Raw genomic sequence first — 19,710 nt, forward strand, 5'->3', positions numbered from 1 at the left:
AGCAACACCCCTCCACCCCCTGCCACGCCCCGCCCTGCCTGTCAGATCTCTAGCGCCATGAGCCCCAGTGGCCCTGACAGTGGGGGTGCTGAGAGCTGTGGGAGTACATGTGCTTCCATATGGCTGCAGTGACCCTGCAGCATCTCTTTGATCTGCTCAGAGCATGGAAAAAGCATACAGATTGGATCTGGCTCTAGAACCTGGGCAGTGATGCCCTGTCCAAGCCTCATTTTCTCATCTGTAAAATGGGGATATGTAATGCCAATCTCCAGGGAACCTGAGAGGGTTGCTAGGACAACGCATGTCAAGGGTGCTGTCTGGGGCAGGTCCTGATGGAGGGCAATGCTGGCAGGCCTAGCCTGGCTTGAGTGGGCAGCTGACAAGTGGGCTGAGGGCTAGATGGTGTTCTGGAGAGGGCTGGATCAGGCCCCGTCCTCCTAGCTTAGGCAGTTGAGCTAATCCTACCTCTAAGCCATTTCAGAGTTCTTTCTTCCCAGAGTGAAATTCCACAGGCTTTGTGGGGGACCTGGGTATGGGTACGCTCCCTCCCCTACCCGAGGCTGTTTTCTTTGAGAAAATAACTAAAGCGCAGTACATGGGGAGCAGATGATGCCAACGCTACTCACATCACGGCCTCCTGAAGCCCCAAGCAGAGGGAAGGGTGTTCAGCTCCACTCTGGAATGTGCTTTGGAGGCCTAGGGTTGGAATGTGGATTGAGCCTGCAGGCCTCTGGAGTGTGGCTCGGGCTTGGGCCGCCCTGAGCAGCCTATGAGGGGAAACATTGCTTTTGCTCTCGCTCTGATCAGGAGATGCCAGGGAGAACACGTGGTGCTGATGAATTGAGACCTGCGGCCCATCACACACTCTTCTCTCAGAACCTGGAACCTCCCAGGCTCCCTGTGGCCACAGAATAAAGTCAAAACTCCTGCTCCAGCTGCCATTCAAGGGCTCCCTCTATGGGTGACTTCACCCCAGCTTTTTTGGCTTTCGTTCCCCTTTTCTCCCGTGTGAGCTCTGGGCTGCAGTCAAATGTTATCCAGCTGACACTCAGTTCACCTTCCCCATCTTCCTTCTCCAGTAAGGCCAGCTCAGGGACGCCCTCCTCCGTCCCACCTTCCAGCTGCAACCTTAATGGAGGGTGGACTCCCCTGTGAGCTTAGAGCACCGGGGCCATCTCTGAAGGCCCTGTCCACATCCTGCCTTCGAATGACTTCTCATTCCTCCTCTGGGATTCTCCATAGACAGAGCCTCTGTTTTTTTGGTGGTTGTTGTAGTTGTTTGTTTGTTTGTTTTGAGACACAGTCTCACTCTGTCACCCAGGCTGGAGTGCAGTGGCGCTATCTCAGCTCACTGCAACCTCTGCCTCCCAGGTTCAAGCGATTCTCATGCCTCAGCCTCCTGAGTAGCTGGGATTACAGGCGTTCGCCACCATGCCTGGCTAATTGTTGTATTTTTACTAGAGATGGTGTTTCACCATGTTGGCCAGGCTGGTCTCGAACTCCTGGCCTCAAGTGATCCATCAGCCTCAGCCTCCCAAAGTGCTGGGATTACGGGCATGAGCCACCTCACCCGGTCAAGGCTCTATTTTTGATTCTCTGTGCCACAGGGCTTAGAAAATCCCATCAGGCTGAACAAGCAGTTTCCTATCCAGGGCAGCCCTAGTTCGGAATGTGGAGGTGCTCAATGCGTGGAATAAACCAGGGGCAGCTTAGCAGTGTCCCCTGAAGCCAGGAAAGGCCCTGAAGAATACTCAGCCCCTGTAGAGGGCAGAGCCCCTCTTCTACTTCCCCAGCAATGAGACAGGTTTACACAAGACTACTCTTGAGGAGGCACATTCACCTCGGAACCTGAGGGCCCATCCCCGCCGGAACCTGAGGGGCCCATCACTGCACAGCGAGGACTGAATTATCCTCAAGGAAGGCACAGGGCAGTCTGATCCTGAGGTGCAGGCAGCAGGGAAGATGGGGCTAGAAAACAAGCACCAAATTGGGAGTCCCGGGGCTTGGCTGCCTCTCTCACCAACTGGCCTGGCTTCCCAAGAAAACCCTTGGTGAAGCCTCCTGGAATGTTAGACTCTGATGATATTTACTATCTGATTTGGGGATAAACCAACCCACTAGGTCAGACTGACTTCCTTTCATGGAGCTGCAATTCCCACCTCTTGAGTTTCATGAACTGTCACTGGTTTAGTAAAATGGGCTCTGGGGAATAAGTCCCCATTTCCAATAGCCACTTTTACTCTGTAGATTTGGAGCCCCACGAAAGGGAAAGTGTTCATAATATGAACTGCCCCATAAAGAACAGGATTCCACTGGGCAGTAGTGAGCTCCCTGTCCCTGGAGTAAGGTGGAGTCTGGATGTGTCCCCAGTGAGGATGCTGTACAGGAGATGGCTGGGCTGACAGTGGGAGGTCAGTTGGACCAGGCCTTCCCTCTTGATCCTCAGGCTCTAGTGTTCCAGGGTTCTCAGGCTCCTCCCAGCCTTCCTTTCTGGAGACAGAGTTGGAGCTACACCCTCCATAGCTTCCGACACGACATTCTTGGCCTCAGGCCATACACTCGGTACTGTTCTCTGATGTCTGCTCTGAGGATGCAGCAATGGTAGACAATGGGCACCTGGCTCGGCAGCGGGGTTGGGGGTTGGGGGTGGACCTCGGGTAGAGGTACCTACACACCTGTGGAGGAGGGGAGGCCCAGGCCCATGGCTGCCTCACAGACTTCCCAGCACAGAAGAGAATTCATACCAATGCTCTGTCTCCCATCTGGGCCCTCGGTGGCTTGGCTCCTGCGTCGGTGGCCCCCTTGGCTGACAGCCTGGTCAGGGCTGTCTGCAGCTGAAAAAGCAAACCTCGTGCTTAATACTCTGCTCAGCGATTGTGCAGCCCAAGGAAAGCACTCTGGTGCCATTGTGTGTGTGGTTACCTATCTTGGTGGTGTGTCCTTTTAGCTCACTTTAGGATCATTAATGGCAGCATTCTCCTTTAGAAACCGCTCTGGAATGGAGAGGGTTTAATTGATTGTCTGACCCATTCCCTAATCGTACTATAAAAGTAGCCCAAGGGTTTACTAACAGCTTAATAAATAATAATGGTACACTTATAATCTGTCTCCTGAAGTTCCAACAATAGTCTAGGAGGCGGGGCAAAAAAGAATGATGGATTTCAGGTTACAGATGAACAGATGAGGCCAGAGACACCAAGAAGCCTGTTGGAGGGCAACAGAATTGGATTTAAAATGCAGCACCACCATATACTGCGTGACTTGAGAAAGCCTCTTAACCTTCCAACTTCAGCTCTCCCGGCTACATATGGAGAAGCTAGGGAGGTTCCCTCTTGCCCATGCTAGGAGTCCCCTCCAGAGGGAGAATGACCAAGGCCCCTCACTTCCCGCTCCAGCTCCTGGATGCGATTGGTCAGCTGCTTCACCCTGGTTTTTGCACCCTCTGATTCTGCCATCAACAGCCGGTTCTTTTTTGATAGCTCCACAATTTTGGTGGCGACCACGTCTCCGGCTACACCGGCTGTCCCTAAAATGAAAGGAATGGTGAGGTCAATTAAAAACACAGGCATACACATCAAACTCATGCTCCACCACTAACAGCACCAGGGTCTTAAAAGCTAAAGCTGCTTGGCATGAATGCTCATAAAGGGGCACTAACTTAGGAGGGTCACCATATACCTAGCAGCCCTGGGACCCAACTCCAATGAGTGGAAATGCAGCCACTCAGAGGTTCAGTATGTTCTAGGAAAATGATAAAAACAGAAAGCAGAGTTTTAATTCTGTGAGACTCAGGTTTATCACTCCGATGCTTCATGTAATCCTCAGTGATAGGATTACATCCATATCCCAGTAATTTTGCTGTGCCCTCTAATGAGCAGGATGTAGTCCCCTTGGGCCTTCTATGACTCTGGGCTCAACCATTTGGCTTGCTTTGGCCAATAGCATGTTAACAGATAAGGTGCAGATAAGGTAGAGGCTTGAAAAGCACTCGTGCAGTTAAATTCGCTGTGTTTGCTTATGCCCTCTCCACAGGAAGAACATACCTGGCTGGCTGGTCTCAAGAATAGAAGAGAGACATGTTGAACAAAGTGGAACCAATCTAGCCAAGCCTGGCCTAGATCGGCCAATCCCCAACCAACCCCCAGATGTTTAAGCTAAATAAATGCTTACTGCTGCTGAGATTATGTGGTTGTTTCTTAGAATTTGGTGGTAACGCCTACCCAATAGAAAGGCATACATTCATTTAGCAAATATTTATTTTCTACCAAGTGCTGGGTCCTCTTGGTGTTAGGGATTCAGTGGTGGATAAAAAAGACTTATGGGGTTTACATTCAAGTAGGGAAGACAGATAATTTAAAACATCAAAGAAATAAATATGTATTCTAATATGTAGCAGGAATAAGTGCTAGGAAATACACTGGAGCTGGGCAAGGGGGTAAGAACGAGGGAGATGATGCTATTTTAGATGGAGTGGCCAGGAAAGGCTCTCTGAGGAGGTGATGTGTGAAGAGAGACCTGAGTGAATGAACTGAGGGCTCAAACCATGAAGAGTGCTCTCACCTAGGAAGAACATTCTAAGCAGAGGAAATGGCAAGTACAGAGGTCTGGAGGTGGAATGTGCTTAGAGTATCTGAGGACCATCAAGGACTCCAGAGTAGCTGGAAGGCTACTTGCAGTGGGCAAAGGAAGGAGGCTGTGGAAGGTGGCTGGAGGATGTGAATGGGGAAGTTGTATGGTATGGGAGCTGTGTGGAAGGCAGGCACCGGGAGCTAGTCCAGCATCGTCATCGACTAGGTGGGTAGCCCTGACAGTCCCTTGCCCTCTCTGGAGTGCAGCTCCCCTATCTGTGCAATGGCAGAGGTGGTCAGATGGTCTGCAAGTTTCCTGAACACTTCTGACACCATAGCAGGGAGTAACTGGCAGTCCTATTTTTTAGTCCTGCTTTTTAACATGACCATCATATGCCTCAGAACAAGAAGAAGGGTGACAACTGGTGGAAAGCAAACAGGCACTTTATGGCTTTCAAATCACCTCAGCCCAGGCTTGCTCCTGCCAGCCTGGGCGAGGCAGTGAGTGGGGCAACTAGGAGTAGCTGCCCTTGGAATCTCATGTCTGCTGAAGAAGACAAGGACACACCAAGAGAAAAGGCTCAGAGCAGACCTGGAGCCCTGGAGTATCTAGAGGGAGACAGGCCCCATTCAGCACCAAGATGGCACACTTTGCTCCCTGGCTCCTTTAATAGGTTGTGTGTCAGGAGGGTAACGGGGGTGGTGATAATAAAGGATCACTGTGAAAATCATGAACTCTAGCAGTTAAAGAAATGCAGTTTCAGCAGAGGTCTGGTTCTGGTTAAGATGGAGTAAGCGCACTCTACCCTGTCTCTTTTGCTGAATACAACCAAAAGCCCTGGATAGGATGTGTGAAGCAGCTACCTGAGGGTTCCGGACATAAATGGTAGCAAGCATATTGGGGAAGGAAACCGGACCTAGAATTACAAATGGTCCAGTGGTACGTTTCCTCCCAGGACTCAAATCAGCACAAATTCTGGAACTGGCTATCAGAAAGAGGTTCAAGAGAAGGTCTTTCTAGTCCAAAGAGCAGGAAGTGGGGCTCAGACAGAATGGAAAAAATCCTCTGGGTATTTTTTTTTCCTATTCTTTCCCAACCCTGTCTCCAGGCAAGCTCTACTGTTGAAGCTGCAACCCCTTGATAAATGGGGGCGGCAGTGGATGGGCAAACACAGAAATGCTAACTATCTGGCTAAATAGAATAGTTTTCCCTTTGGGTTCTTTAAAATACATATAATAGTTGAGCAAAAAGTATAACATTGACTGATGGGATTTTCAATATATATAGATATAATACATATAAAAACTGCAATAGAAAGGGAGAGGTAAAGGGACCTGAATGGTGGTAAAGTTTCTACATTCCATTTGAAGTGGTAAAATATTAGTTCTACGTAGACTATGAAAAGGTAATAAATATTTTGTAATCACTAGATCACTAAAAAACTGTACGAAAAATATAGTAAGCAAACAAAACCCAAAGGAATCACTAAAAATCCAGCCAAAAGAAACCGATCTATCAACTCTCAGTAGCCTGTCACTTGCAGCTCAGTTTAAAAACATAAATGGAGGCCAGTCGCGGTGGCTCACACCTGTAATCCCAGGACTTTGGGAGTCCGAGGCGGGCAGATCACAAGGTCAGCAGTTCGAGACCAGACTAGCCAACATGGTGAAACCCTGTCTCTACTAAAAATACAAAAATTAGCTGGGTGTGGTGGCACACACCTGTAATCCCAGCTACTCAGGAGGCTGAGGCAGGAGAATCACTTGAACCCAGGAAGTGGAGGTTGTGGTGAGCCAAGATCGTGCCACTGCACTCTAATCTGGGCAACAGAGCAAGACTCTGTCTCAAAAAGAAAAAAATTAAAAACATAAATGGGCTTGTCAGATTTTCTCTCCAAAACGTGAGAATGAAAATCAGAAATGGTGACTTCAGAGTGAAGACTGGATTTAAGTGGTTTTCAGGGACGCTTAGGGCTGGCAGTCAGATGAGGCCACAACCAAGTCTGGGCTTTGGCAAAGCTTGCAAGAGACAGTTAACAATGAGAGGGGCTGGGGAAGAGGGAGTAACCCCAGATCTGCTTCCCAGGTCTGCTGGGTGGAGATGTATCTCCTGCTCCCCCTGGAGCCCATCAGCTTCTCTACAGCCTTGCAAAAGTGCAAGTGGCCCCTTCCACAGCTGAATCTGTAACCAGGCTGAGTGTAGGCTTCCTTAGCCAGGCTTTGTGTTTTTTGTTTCAGACAGAAAAGGCCAAAGAATGGAGGGAGGTGCATTAGGCTACCATGAGTCTTTAGGATACCAAATTCCCCTTGCTTTGTAATTCAGCATTGACTGACCAGAGCTTTGGTCCTATGAACGTACCTATCCTCAAACGCATTTACTCTCAAAGGCAAGGACAATAGTCTGGTAGATGCTGAGTCAGCCCTGTTGCTCTCCGTGATTGGTGACATCTATAATACTTTCTTATTTATTAGCCATCTGCGAATTGCTCAATGGGTATATACATAACACAGGACAATCAAGTCCAAAGTCCTCACTACATCAGCAGGGCAAAAGTCAAACTCATAACCACAGAGCCAATGTCCAGCTCACAACCATGATCAAAGGTCATTCCCAGACCTGCAAAGCCAAGGTCCTCACCAGACTCATGGGGCCACCATGAGGTCTCCACCAACACAGCCAAGGTCTAGCCCAGACTTACAGGGCCAAGACCCAGCCCACACCTTGTTGGTGGTTGGGTCCCATGATATCCTCCTAGAACAGGTGACTCATCTACCTTTCTGGAGCAGCAACAGCAGGTGCTGTAGAGTTCATACCTGGCTCTACTGGGGCTTTTTTTTTTTTCAAGACAGGATCTCTGTTGCCCAGGGTTCAGTGCAGTGGGGGTGATCATAGCTCACTGCAGGCTGCTGGGCCTTTTTTATGTTCACAACATAACATGTGAGCCAGTGCACCAAGGAGAAATGGATCCTGCCAGCCCCTTTACATGCTGCGAGCATGATGGCAAACCCTTGTCATGAGTCCCAGCTGGATCACCAACATTGCCTATGATGCTTGCCTGCTGGCCCTTCTGGCCCATTTTTAAATCCCTCATTGCTCCCTGTGCTCCCATTTTCTGGTGGGCTGGCCTCCCTGGGGCTGCTCTTTTCCTCTACCCTCTCCCTCACTTCCAGGACTCCTCTGGACAAGCTTGATCACAACTGACCCTTGGCACTCTCTTGGGAATCTGCTCTCTGGAACCTGCTGTCTGCCCTATCTGAAGTCCCTGGACTGCAGGGCAAGGACTATCACAACAATGGTGGAGCTACCTGTGAAGGCAAATCTGTCCTCTTCTATTTTCTTTTTGAGGTGTTTGATTTCAAAGTCCCTTTCCTTCAGCAGCTTATACAATCGCCCGTTCTCGTCCACCGTTTCCCTGAGCTCATTTCGAAGGTGTTCAATCTCATCTTCAAGCACCCTACAAGGCAAAGGCAGAATTAATGCTCCTCCAAGGCAAAGGCCCTGGTGGGCAGGGGTCAGGCCTCCACTGCCTAGGTGGACAGATGGACACGCAGATGCAGACACACTGACGTGAAAGAAGAAAGATTTCAATGTCGTTCATTAGCTGGCTTAAATAGGGAGTTATAAAAAAACCCACTCATAATTCATATTTCTTTTAAGCATCCATGGAACATGCATAAAAATATATTACAGGGCTGGGTGTGGTGGCTCATGCCTCTAATCCCAGCACTTTGGGAAGCCAAGGCAGGAGTTTGTGACTAGCCTAGGCAACAAAGAAAGACCCTGTCTCTAAAAATAAAAGAAAACAAAATTAGCCAGGCATGGTGGTGTACACGTGTAATCCCAGTGACTCTAGAAGCTGAGGTGGAAGGATTGCTTGAACCCAGGAGCTTGAGGCTGCAGTGAGCTATCATCCTGCATTCCAGCCCGGGTGACAGTACAAGACTCTGTCTCTTAAAAAAAAGTATTATAGGTTATAAAGGGAATCTTAGCAAATTCTAAATAATAACATTATACAGACTATTTTCTCTAATGGCAAGTGACTGTTTTAGAAATCAATAATAAAAAATAGAAATAAAACAAGAAAACCCAAAACTCATCATATGCTTGGAACTAGAAAAACACCCTATACTCCTAAATTATTTATGGGTTAAGAAGAAATCATAATATGTATTATAAAGCATTTAGAATGGATTGACCACAGAAGCTGTATCAAAACTTGTTAAATGCAGCTATAATTAAGGCTCTAAGCTTCCTTCTATCACTTTAGCTGCATTTTACAAGTTTTGCTATAGCTCCGGTGGTACACACACACACACACACACACACACACACACACCCCTGAGAGATTTCAAACTTGCATTTACCTCTTCTCAAAGCTATTTTTCGAGTTTGGCTCCCCTGCGTGGAGAAGGCTGAGGCCATCTGAAACCTCCAAGGGCTCCTCTTGGTCGTCAGCTCTGCTTTTGAGGCTCAGTTCTTTTTCCCTCTTTTTCTCCATCTGCTTCTGTAACCGTTTGTGCTGCATCTCCTGCATTGCCTTGAACTGGAGCCGCAAAGTGTTCTGTGAGCTTTCATCTGCTGCCATCCTGCCCTAGGCATCAGAAATGAAGCCTCAGCTGAAGCAAACTCCACACCGAGCGCTCAGCACACAGTCCGCCCTGTCTGCAGCCCCAGCCTTGGAGTTTACTGCTTCGCGTTGCATGTATGTCCACGCAGAAGCTTGGAAGCTCCACCCTCACCTCAGATCACTAGAAACCCAAGGTTGAACTGAGCATCCTCCCCAGTTCCTGAACATGCCACCAGATTGCACATGGCATCAGAATAGTCTCCATCACTCAGACTCAACACTTGACTCTTGCCTGTCCCTTAAATCAATGGTTCTCAACTCTGGTTGAACATTGAAATCCCCTAGGAACTCCTAAATAACAATGCCTGGGACCATTTCCAGACCAGCTAAATCCCAGTTTCTAGGAACAGGGCTTGGCCATCATTTCTTCTTTTTCTTTTTAAATTCAGGTATAATTCACATGCAATAAAGTACATAAATCCTGACCATACGGCTCAGTGAATCTTTCCATAGACATATACCTCTGTGGTGACCACCCAGATCAAGGTACAGGGCACTTACGGTCCCTGAGCAGGCTACTTTGTGCCCCTTCCAGTGAATCATCCCCCAAGGTAACCATTATTCTGACCGCTACCACCTAAGATTAATTTTGTCTGGTTTCTTTTTAGTCAGTCTATCAAAGAATAATTTATGTACAATAAAATCCACCAGGTTGGGTGCAGTGGCTCATGCCTTGCAATCACAGCACTTTGGGAGGCCAAGGTGAGTAGACTGCTTGAGACCAGGAGTTTGAGACCAGCCTGTATAACATGGCAAAACCCCATCTCTACAAAAAATTGGTTGTGGTGGTGCATGCCTGTAGTCCCAGCTACTTAGGAGGCTGAGGTGGCAAGATCGCTTGAGCCCAGGAAGTGGAGGCTGCAGTGAGCCATGATTGTGCCACTATATTCCATTGTGAGTAACAGTGAGACCCTGTCTCCAAAAAAAAAAAAAACACAAATTTTATGTGTACAAATGAGTTTTGACAAATATATTCACTTGTGTAAACCACCTCCACCATCGTGAAAGAACATTTTCATCACCCCAAAATCCTCCTTTGTGCCCTTTTGCAGTCAATTTCCAGCCAATCCCAATCCCAATCCCAGGCAAACTCTGGTCTGCTTTTGTTCACTACAGTTTTGCCTTTTCTGGAATTTCATATAACTAGAATCATACAGTCGTTAGCCTTTTGTGTCTGGCTTCTTTTTTGCTCAGCACTACCTTTTTGAGATTCATCAATGTCATTGCACACATTATAAGCTCATTCGTTTTTATTACTGAGTAATATTACCTTGTTTAAATAAACAAGAATTTGATTATACATTCACTTGTTATTGGACATCTGAGCTGTTTCCAGTTTTGGCTATTATGAATAAAGCCGTTATGAACATTCATGTATAAGAAGGTATTTGTGTGAATGTATGTTTTTATTTCTCTTGGGTAAATACATAGAAGTGAAAATTCTGGCTTATATGGTAATTTATGTTTAACTTCATAAGAAACTGCTAAACTGTTTGCCAGAGTGGTTGTACCATTTTACATTCTTACTAGCAATGGGAGTCCCAGTTGCGCCATCCTCGTCAGCATTTAGGCTAGTCAGTCTAAATTTTAGACTTTCTCATTAGTATGTAAAATGGTATCTCAGCCGGGCATGGTGGCTCATCCCTGTAATCCCATCCCTCTAGGAGGCCGAGGTGGGTGGATAAACTGAGGTCAGGAATTCGAGACTAGCCTGACCAACATGATGAAACCCCATCTCTACTAAAAATACAAAATTAGCCAGGCGTGGTGACATGTGCCTGTAATCCCTGCTACTCGGGAGGTTGAGTCAGGAGAATTGCTTGAACCCAGGAGGCAGAGGTTGCAGTGAGCTGAGATCATGCCATTGCACTCCAGCCTGGGCAACAAGAGCAAAATTCTTGTCTCTAAATAAATAAATAAATAAATAAATAAATAAATAAATAAATAGGCAGGGCACAGTGGCTCATGCCTGTAATCCCAACACTTTGGGAGGCTGAGGTGGGTGGATCACCGGAGTTCAGAAGTTTGAGACAAGTCTGGCCAAAATGGAGAAACCCCATCTCTACTAAAAATACAAAAATTAGCTGGGTGTGGTGACACAGGCCTGTAATCCCAGTTACTCAGGAGGCTAAGGCAGGAGAATCACTTGAACCTGGGAGGCAGAGGTTGCAGTGAGTCAAGATTGAGCCATTGCACTCCAGCCTGGGCGAGGTTGCAGTGAGCCAAGATTGCGCCATGGCACTCCAGCCTGGGCGAGGTTGCAGTGAGCCAAGATTGCGCCATGGCACTCCAGCCTGGCCGAGGTTGCAGTGAGCCAAGATTGCGCCATTGCATTCCAACCTGGGTGACAGAGCAAGACTCTGTCTCAAAATAAATAAATAAATAAAATATAAATAAATTAATTAATTAAAATAAAATAAAAATAAAATGGTATCTCAATGTGTTTTTAATTTGTATTTCTCTGTTGACTAGTTATGTTGAGCATCTTTTCATGTGCTTGTTGACCATGTGTATATCTTCTTTTGTGATGTGTCTATTCACATTTTTTGCCCATTTTTAAATTGTATTAGACAATACAATTTACAGTCACAATACAATCACTCACTGTTACTGAATGATCAGTTTCTTGTACATTCTTGATACTTTGTCTGTTTGAACTTCACATAAATGAAATAATAGAGCACAGACACTGGAATTATTAAATGCTCCCCTCACGATTTTAAAGTGTAGCCAGTGGTAAGCATCCCTGCCTTAAACCAACCTCAAGCCACATCATCTACCTATCATCCAATTAATCATAAATCTTGTTTATTTTCCATAAATGTCCTAAAATCTGCCCCCATGTCTCCATTCCCACTGATACCAGGCTCATAACCACCTTGGGGTATCTGCACTTGCTGTTACCTCTCCAGGAATGTCCTTCCCCCAGACATCTACCTTACCTACTTCCTCTCAAATGTCACCTTATCACAGAGGTCTCCTCATATCCTATTGTAGAAGGCATCCCTGCCCTCGCTCCCCATGCCCTTGCCCTGTTTTGTCTTCCTCCATGGCACTGAGAGTCATCTGACACATTATATTTTGATTTGTTTACTTGTTGACTGCCTCTCTCCCTCCCCACCAGCTTCACAATGGCAGGCACTGTGTTGTTCATTGCTGTATCCTCAGTGCCTGTAGCAGGGCCTGGTATATGGCAGGCATGGAATGAATACTTGCTGAACAAATGAATAACATTTGCTGAGGGACAAGTTTCTCTAAACCACAGCTCTGAGCCTGACAGACTCCTGTGCAAAAAGCTTCAGCAGATGCCCCTTAGCCACAAAGCCAAGTCCAATGGCATTAAGCGCTTTGGATTTGGCCTCTGTGTCCTTCTAGCCTGTTTTCCCTTTCATAATGCTAACTTCTAGCTAGTTGTGTTGACTTGCTCCTCTGTTCCTATACCTCCTTCTCCCCCCAAGGCTTAAATCTTGCTGGTCCTCCTACACCCAGCATGAATACCATGGTCCTTTTCTGACCCGCCAGGAGGAATACTCTACCTACCCAAACAGCTTCAACTGCTCTATCTGTACCTTCTTAATATACTTATCTCCATCTCACACACAGGGGTGGTCCCAGAGCCTGTACCCAGTTACTCTTAAACTTGCTTCAATACCAAATCCCCAGGATACAATCTAAAAATGCTGATAACCAGGCCCACCCCTAGAGAATCTGATTTAAATTAGTCTGGAGTGGAGACCAAGCATGGGATGGTTTAACTGCTGCCCAGCTGGTTTTAATGTGCTGTGGGCTGAGCCCAGGGTTTGGCAAAGGTCAAACAAAAGCAGAAGCTGGTGTTATGTTGAAATTCCTTACCAGGCAGCTCTGCCCAGTAAGAGGAACTATAAAGAATTAACTCTGAAAACCTGTATTGTGCACACCCGCACATTCCAAAAAACATGTTTGGCCTTTGACCCGCTCCTAAGAGAGAATCTCTGAGCCCTTGGACCATCCTTCCTGATGAGAGTGTTTTTCTTCACCTGGGGACCTTGGGCCATTCCAGTCCATGTTAATTAACAATGTGATTCATTGCCAGGTGCAGGGTAGGCTGGAGGGGGCTGGAGATCGAGTGACTAAGGTCAACTGTACCTACGTAACCATCTCCTAATAAAAACCCTGGACACCAAGACTCAGGGGAGCTTCCCTGGCTGGCAGTACTCCATGTAAGTTGCCACGAATTGTTTCTGGGAGAAGTAAGTACTGTCAACATGACTCCACTGGGAGAAGACAACTGGAAGCTTGCACCTGGTGTCTCCTGGACTCTGCCCTATGTGTCTCTTTGCTGATTTTGACCCGTATTCTTTCATTGTAATAAACAATACATGTGAGTATAATAGCTGGCCCAAAGGCTATATCCTTTGTTAAAAGATAAACGTTAGGCCAGGCATGATGGCTCACACCTGTAATCCCAGCACTTTGGAAGGCCAAGGTGGAAGCACAGCTTGAGCCCAGGAGGTTGAGACTACAATGAGCTGTGATCGCGCCACTGCACTCTAACCTGGGTGACAGTCAGACCCTGTCTCCAAAATAAAAAAAGAAAAACTTTAAACAAATCAAATTTAACAGAATTCAACTGAGCAAAGAATGATTCACAAATCTAGCAGCCCCCAGAACCAGAACAGATTCAGAGTGACTCCAGGGCTGCCACCTAGTCGAAAAAGATTTATGAACAGAAAAAGGAAAGTGATGAACAGAAAGCACAAGTGAGGTACAGAAACAGCTAGACTGATTACAGCTGGCTGTTTGCCTTTTTTGAATACAATTTGAATAGCTGGCTGCCTGTGATTGGCTGAAACTCTGTGACTGGTACAAGAGTAGATTGCAGTCTGTTTAAATTCCTAGTCAGGTTACAGTTTACTACGTACAGAGAAACCTTTAGGCTGAACTTAGAATATATAAGAAGGCAGCTTTAGGCTACAGTTAGTTTAACACATCCCACAGACATTTTTGTTTGGCTCTTACAGAACACTATGTTAGGATTTGAATTTGTTGCCAACATTCAAAGAATTGTAGTTTCAATATCAGATTTCCAGTGTCAACAAAAACAGTCAAACTCTGTAAAATATTTGAAGAGATGTACTTTTTTTTTTTTTTTTTTTTAGATGAAGTCTCGCTCTGTCACCCAGGCTGGAGCGCAGTGGCACAATCTTGGCTCACTGCAACCTCTGCCTCCTGGGCTCAAGCAATTCTCCTGCCTCAGCCTTCTGAGTTGCTGGGACTACAGGCATGCACCACCACACCCAGATAATTTTTGTATGTTTTTGTAGAGACATGGTTTCACCATGTTGGCCAGGCTGGTCTTGAACTCCTGATCTCAAGTGATCCACCCACCTCAGCCTCCCAAAGTGCTGGGATCACAGGTGTGAGCCACTGCACCCAGTCTGAAGAGATTTATTCTGAGCCAAATGTGAGTGATCATGGCCTGTGACACAGCCCTCAGGAGATCCTGAGACCACGTGCCCAAGGTGGTCAGGGCACAGCTTGGTTTTATACATTTCAGGCAGACCTGAGACATCAATCAAATACATTTAAGATATATACCGATTTGGTCCAGAAAAGCAGGACAACTCCAAGGTTGGGAGGGGGGAGCTTCCAGGTGATAAGTAGATTTAAAATTTTTCTGATTGGTAATTGGTTAAAAGAGTTACTATAAATAGAAAGGAATATCTGGGTTAGAATAAAAGAGATAAAAGTTTTGATCATGCAAATGAAGCCTCCAGGTAGCAGGCTTCAGAGAGAATAGATTGTAAATGTTTCTTATCAGACTTAAGGTCTGTGTTGATGTTAAATGTTGGTCAACTTTTCCTGAATTCCAAAAGGGAGGAGGGTATAATGAGGCGTGTCCAACCCTTGCTTCCCATCAAGGCCTGAACTGGTCTTTCAGGTTAACTTTGGAGTGCCCTGGCTGAGAAGGAAGTCCATTCAGATGGATGGGGGGCCTCTGAATTTTATGTTTAGTTTACACCAGCTTCTTTTATAAAAGTTTACAGATCTGGCAATGCTGGGCCCATCGTCCCACACGGACAGCAGCTGCTATGCAGAGAGTTCCTTTGGTGCATAATAGGTTCTTTCCATTAAACCACTGTCCCTGCCACCTCCAGATGCTGCAGCTGGCACATCAGCTGCCCATTATCACTGCACATAAATGTTGTTCTTTCTCTTAAACCTGCTGGATTCACTTTTATTTCCCATCAGCCACAGCAGATGTTTTGGGTTTGTGGCTCCTGCTGTGGATTAAGCCCAGTGGCATCTCAGAGGCTGGCTTCAGCCACTCCTCTACCTGGGAGGCCTTCCTCCCAGGCCTCCCCATCCCAGCCCTTTACCTTCCCACTAACTCCCAGTTAGCCTCTAGGATTCCCCTCAGGGCACTCTGTGGACTCCCAGAATCCCTAGGGCACCCCTTGATCACTAAACTTAACCTCAGTGTATTATAATTATCTATTATTTTATTTACATTACTTCCCTTTACAAAGAGACCTCTTAAGGGCAGGGGTCCTAATACCTTATTCATTTGCTAAATCTCAACATCTTGCCCAGAACAGGCCTTCAACTGTCATTTGTAGAATTGTCACTGAATGAATGAACACAGTAACTTGTAAAGCTTTTCTCCTTTTCTACTCCCAATTTGCACTTGAAGTCACTGAGGAACTGGTACTCATTGAATGTACACTGTGCCCCAGGCAAATTACTTAACCTCTTTGCTTTCGTTTCCCATTTGTAAAATGGGACTCTGATACTTACGAACTTCACAGGGAGTTTGTGAGATTAAGTGGAAGAATGCATGGAAATAATTATCATTATCACTGTATGAAAAGTGGTGCTCTTGGCCCAACGGAGCCTCTGGGATAGACAGTAATGCCTGCACTGAGAGGACACCTGTGGTCCAGACCGGCCCCCAGAGTATTAGTATCTAATCTGTGCTATTCATGAGGCCAGTGGAGATTTGAAATTAATTATCTGGGCTGTGGCCAGGGTGTCTATTTTTATTTTTATTTTTTTGAGATGGAGTTTCACTCTCGTTGCCCAGGCTGGAGTGCAATGGCACGATCTCGGCTCACAGCAACCTCCATCTCCTGGGTTCAAGCGATTCTCCTGCCTCAGCCTCCCGAGTAGCTGGGACTACAGGCATGCACCACTACGCCCAGCTAACATTTTTGTATTTTTAAAGCTTCCCAGGTGAGCCTAACGTTCAGCTGGTTTGAGAATGAGAGGTGTTAAGCACTCTGAGAGGCTGTCTGGGGAGAGAGAAGCTGCAGGAGAGACAGGCATCTCAGTCAATTTGAAGCTGAATGCAGAAGAAATTCACCTGGGTGGGGAAGGGACGGTGCCTGAGTGGGGGGCAACGGGCTCTCCTGCCAGAACAGCATGTGCAGAGAATGTGATGAGTGTGGGGAACTATGAAAGGTTCAGAATGGCCAGAGGGCAGGGCACATTTGGGGAGGCACCAGAAGAAGGGTCTGATCTGCCCAGCTAAGGAGCCTGGACTTTATCCTGAGGCGCTGGAGATGTTCAGAGGGTGCACACAGGATCAGCTTTGCCTTCTGCAGAGCTGGAGGCAAAGGGCCTAGCTAGGAGGGGGTCTCTGGGAAGCCATGTGGGCCTAAATCAAAACTGTAGCAGTGGAGATGGAGGAGGGGGAAGAGGAATTGCTGCCAAATGGAAGGGACTGAAGGCAACTATGCAGAGAAGGAGAGGGGAGAAACCTAGGCGGTTTGGGTTTGAGTGACTGGGGAGACAGCAGGCCCTGACAGAGGAGCAGTTTTCCACGCTGCAGACAAGGTGGTGGACTTTGAGATGCTGGGTGGGCAGCTGGCTGGCTGAGATGCTGGGTGGGTCTGGGGTTCAGAAGGGAAGTCTGAGCTGGAGCCTCAGGTAGTTGAGACCTAGAGTATGAACAAAGCAGCATGAGGAGAAGGTGTAGAGTGAGGAGGTGGGAGAGAGGGAAGGAGAGGGAAGAGGAAGAAGAGACAGCTGGAAGCAAGTAACAGCCTGACGGGTTCATCTTGCCTGCTGTTCAGAAAACCAATGCACTAAAAACAGCGAGTTTTGCAGCAAAGAAAGAGTTTGATGGGCCAGTCAAGTGAAAGGAGGGGAGGTAATTCTCAGATCTTCCTCTCACTGCAGTGAGCCATGATTGCACCACTGCACTCCAGACCGGGGAAAAGAGCGAGATCCTGTCTCAAAGAAAAAAAAAAAAAAACAACCAACCAACCAAACAAACAAACTTCCTCTCCAAGAATATTAGCAAATTGAATCCAATGATGTATTTGAAAAATTATACCACATGACCAAATAGGAGTTACTTTAGGTATGCAAGGCTGGTTTAACATTAGAAAATCAATTAACATAAACCTATCACATCAACAGGCTAAAGGAGAAAAGTCACACAATCATATTAGTAGACACAGAAAAAGCATTTGACAAAATCCAATGCTCATTCATGATAAAAGCTCTAAGTAAACTAGGAATAGAGGGGAACTTCTTCAATTTGATTAAGAACATCTACAAAAAACATACAGCTACCACCATACTTAGCAGTGAGAAACTACACGCTTTACCCCTAAGACTGGGAACATGACAAGATGTCCCTTCTCTCTACTCTCTTTCAACATCATACTAGAAGTTCTACCTAATGGAATAAGCCAAGAAAAGGAAATAAAAGATATATATTTTGGAAAGGAAGAAATAAAATTGCCTTGGTTGCAGATGACTGATTGTCTATGCAGAAAATCTCAAAGAATCTATTAAAAAAAAAAAGAACAAAAAAACTCCTGGAACTTATAAGTGATTGCAGCAAGGTTGCAAGAAGTAAGGTTAATACACAGAAGTCAAATGTTTTCCCACATACTAGCAATAAGCAATGGAAAGCTCAAGTTAAAAATGCAATGCCATTTATATTAACACAAACATTGAAATACTTAGGTATAAATCTTACAAAATATGTGTAAGATCTATATTAGGAGAAATATAAAACTCTGGGAAAAGACTATAAACTATAAAACTCTGATAAAATCAAGAACTAAACAAATAGTTATCTCATGCACATGAATAGGAAGAATGAATATTGTTAAGATGTCAGTTCTTCCCAACTTGATCTATAGATTCAATGCAATTGCAATAAAGAAATCCCAGCAAATTACTGTATGGATATCGACAAATTGATTCCAAAGTTTATGTGGAGAGGCAAAAGATCCAGAATATCCAACACAATATTAAAAAAGAACAAAGGTGGAAAACTGACACTACCTGACCTTAAGACTTACTAGGCTAGGCGTGGTGGCTCACACCTGTAATCCCAGCACTTTGGGAGGCCGAGGCGGGTGGGTGGATCACCTGAGGTCAGGAGTTCAAGACCACCCTGGCAAATGTGGTAAAACCCCGTCTCTACTAAAAATACAAAAATTGCCAGGTGTGGTGGTGGGCACCTGTAATCCCAGCTACCTGGGAGGCTGAGGCAGGAGAATCGCTTGAACCCAGGAGGCAGAGGTTGCAGTGAGCTGAGATCGTGACATTGCACTCCAGCCTGGCCAACAGGAGCAAAACTCCATCTCAAAAAAAAAAAAAGACTTACTATAAAATGATAGTAATTAAGACAGTGTGGTATTGGTGAAGAAACAGACAAATGAATCAATGAAACCAAATAAAGAGCCCAGAAATAGATCCACATAAATAGAGTCAACTGATCCTTGACAAAGAAACAAAGGCAATGGTGCTGGAACAACGAATATCCATATGTAAAAAAGTGAATCTAGACACAGACCTCATCCCTGTCACAAATATTAACTCAAAATGGGTTATATACTGAAATGTAAACTGCAAAACTTCTAGAAGGTAATACAGGAGAAAATCTAGCTGACCTTGGGTTTGGCTATGAGTTTTCATATATAATACCAAAAGCATGATACATGAAACAAAAAAAATTGATAAATTCAACTTCATTAAAATTATAAACTTCTACTCTGTGAAAGATACTGTTAAGAAAATGAAAAGAGGCCGGGAATGGTGGCTCATGCCTGTAATCCCAGCACTTTAGGAGGCTGAGGCAGGCGGATCACCTGAGGTCAGGAGTTTGAGACCAGCCTGGCCAACATGGTGAAACCCTGTCTCTACTGAAAATAAAAAAATTAGCTGGGCATGTTGGTGTGCACCTGCAGTCCCAGCTACTCGGAAGGCTGAGGCAGGAGAATCGCTTGAACCCGGGAGGTGGAGGTTGCAGTAAGCTGAGATCACTCCACTGCACTCCAGCCTGGGCTACAGAGAAAGACTCAAAAAATAAAAAAAAATAAAAAACAAGAAAATGAAAGAAAAGAGAAGCCATAGAGACTGGAAGAAAACCTGCCAGACACATATTTGACAAAGGACTACATCCAACATATACAAAGAATTCTGATAACTTAATAATAAGAAAATACCCCAGTTAAAAAGTGGGCAAGGCCGGGCATGGTGGCTCATGCCTGTAATCCCAGCACTTTGGGAGG

At 45.9% G+C, this 19,710-nt stretch overlaps 1 protein-coding gene across 9 annotated transcripts in view; it reads right to left on the reverse strand.

Moving 5' to 3' along the window:
• Nucleotides 1-19,710, reverse strand: part of CCDC13 (coiled-coil domain containing 13) — a 69,136-nt gene that overhangs the window by 45,074 nt on the left and 4,352 nt on the right. For 7 of the 9 annotated variants that reach the window (XR_940385.1, XM_011533418.3, XM_005264898.4 and 4 more), the window contains exons 2-5: nucleotides 8,934-9,160; nucleotides 7,875-8,023; nucleotides 3,384-3,526; nucleotides 2,745-2,834 (exon numbers count right to left, since the gene is read on the reverse strand). Coding sequence is in view for 6 of the 9 variants with exons in the window: in XM_011533418.3 (XP_011531720.1) it covers nucleotides 2,745-2,834; nucleotides 3,384-3,526; nucleotides 7,875-8,023; nucleotides 8,934-9,154 (603 nt within the window). In the remaining 3 variants the exon portion in view is untranslated. Of the gene's footprint in view, nucleotides 1-626; nucleotides 1,325-2,675; nucleotides 2,835-3,383; nucleotides 3,527-7,874; nucleotides 8,024-8,933; nucleotides 9,161-19,710 lie in introns of those variants that run through there. The other 2 variants (XM_017005781.2, XM_011533419.3) reach the window with 2 other exon arrangements.

This window comes from Homo sapiens, chromosome 3 (assembly GCF_000001405.40).
Source record: "Homo sapiens chromosome 3, GRCh38.p14 Primary Assembly".
In the NCBI taxonomy this organism is placed as follows: domain Eukaryota; kingdom Metazoa; phylum Chordata; class Mammalia; order Primates; family Hominidae; genus Homo; species Homo sapiens.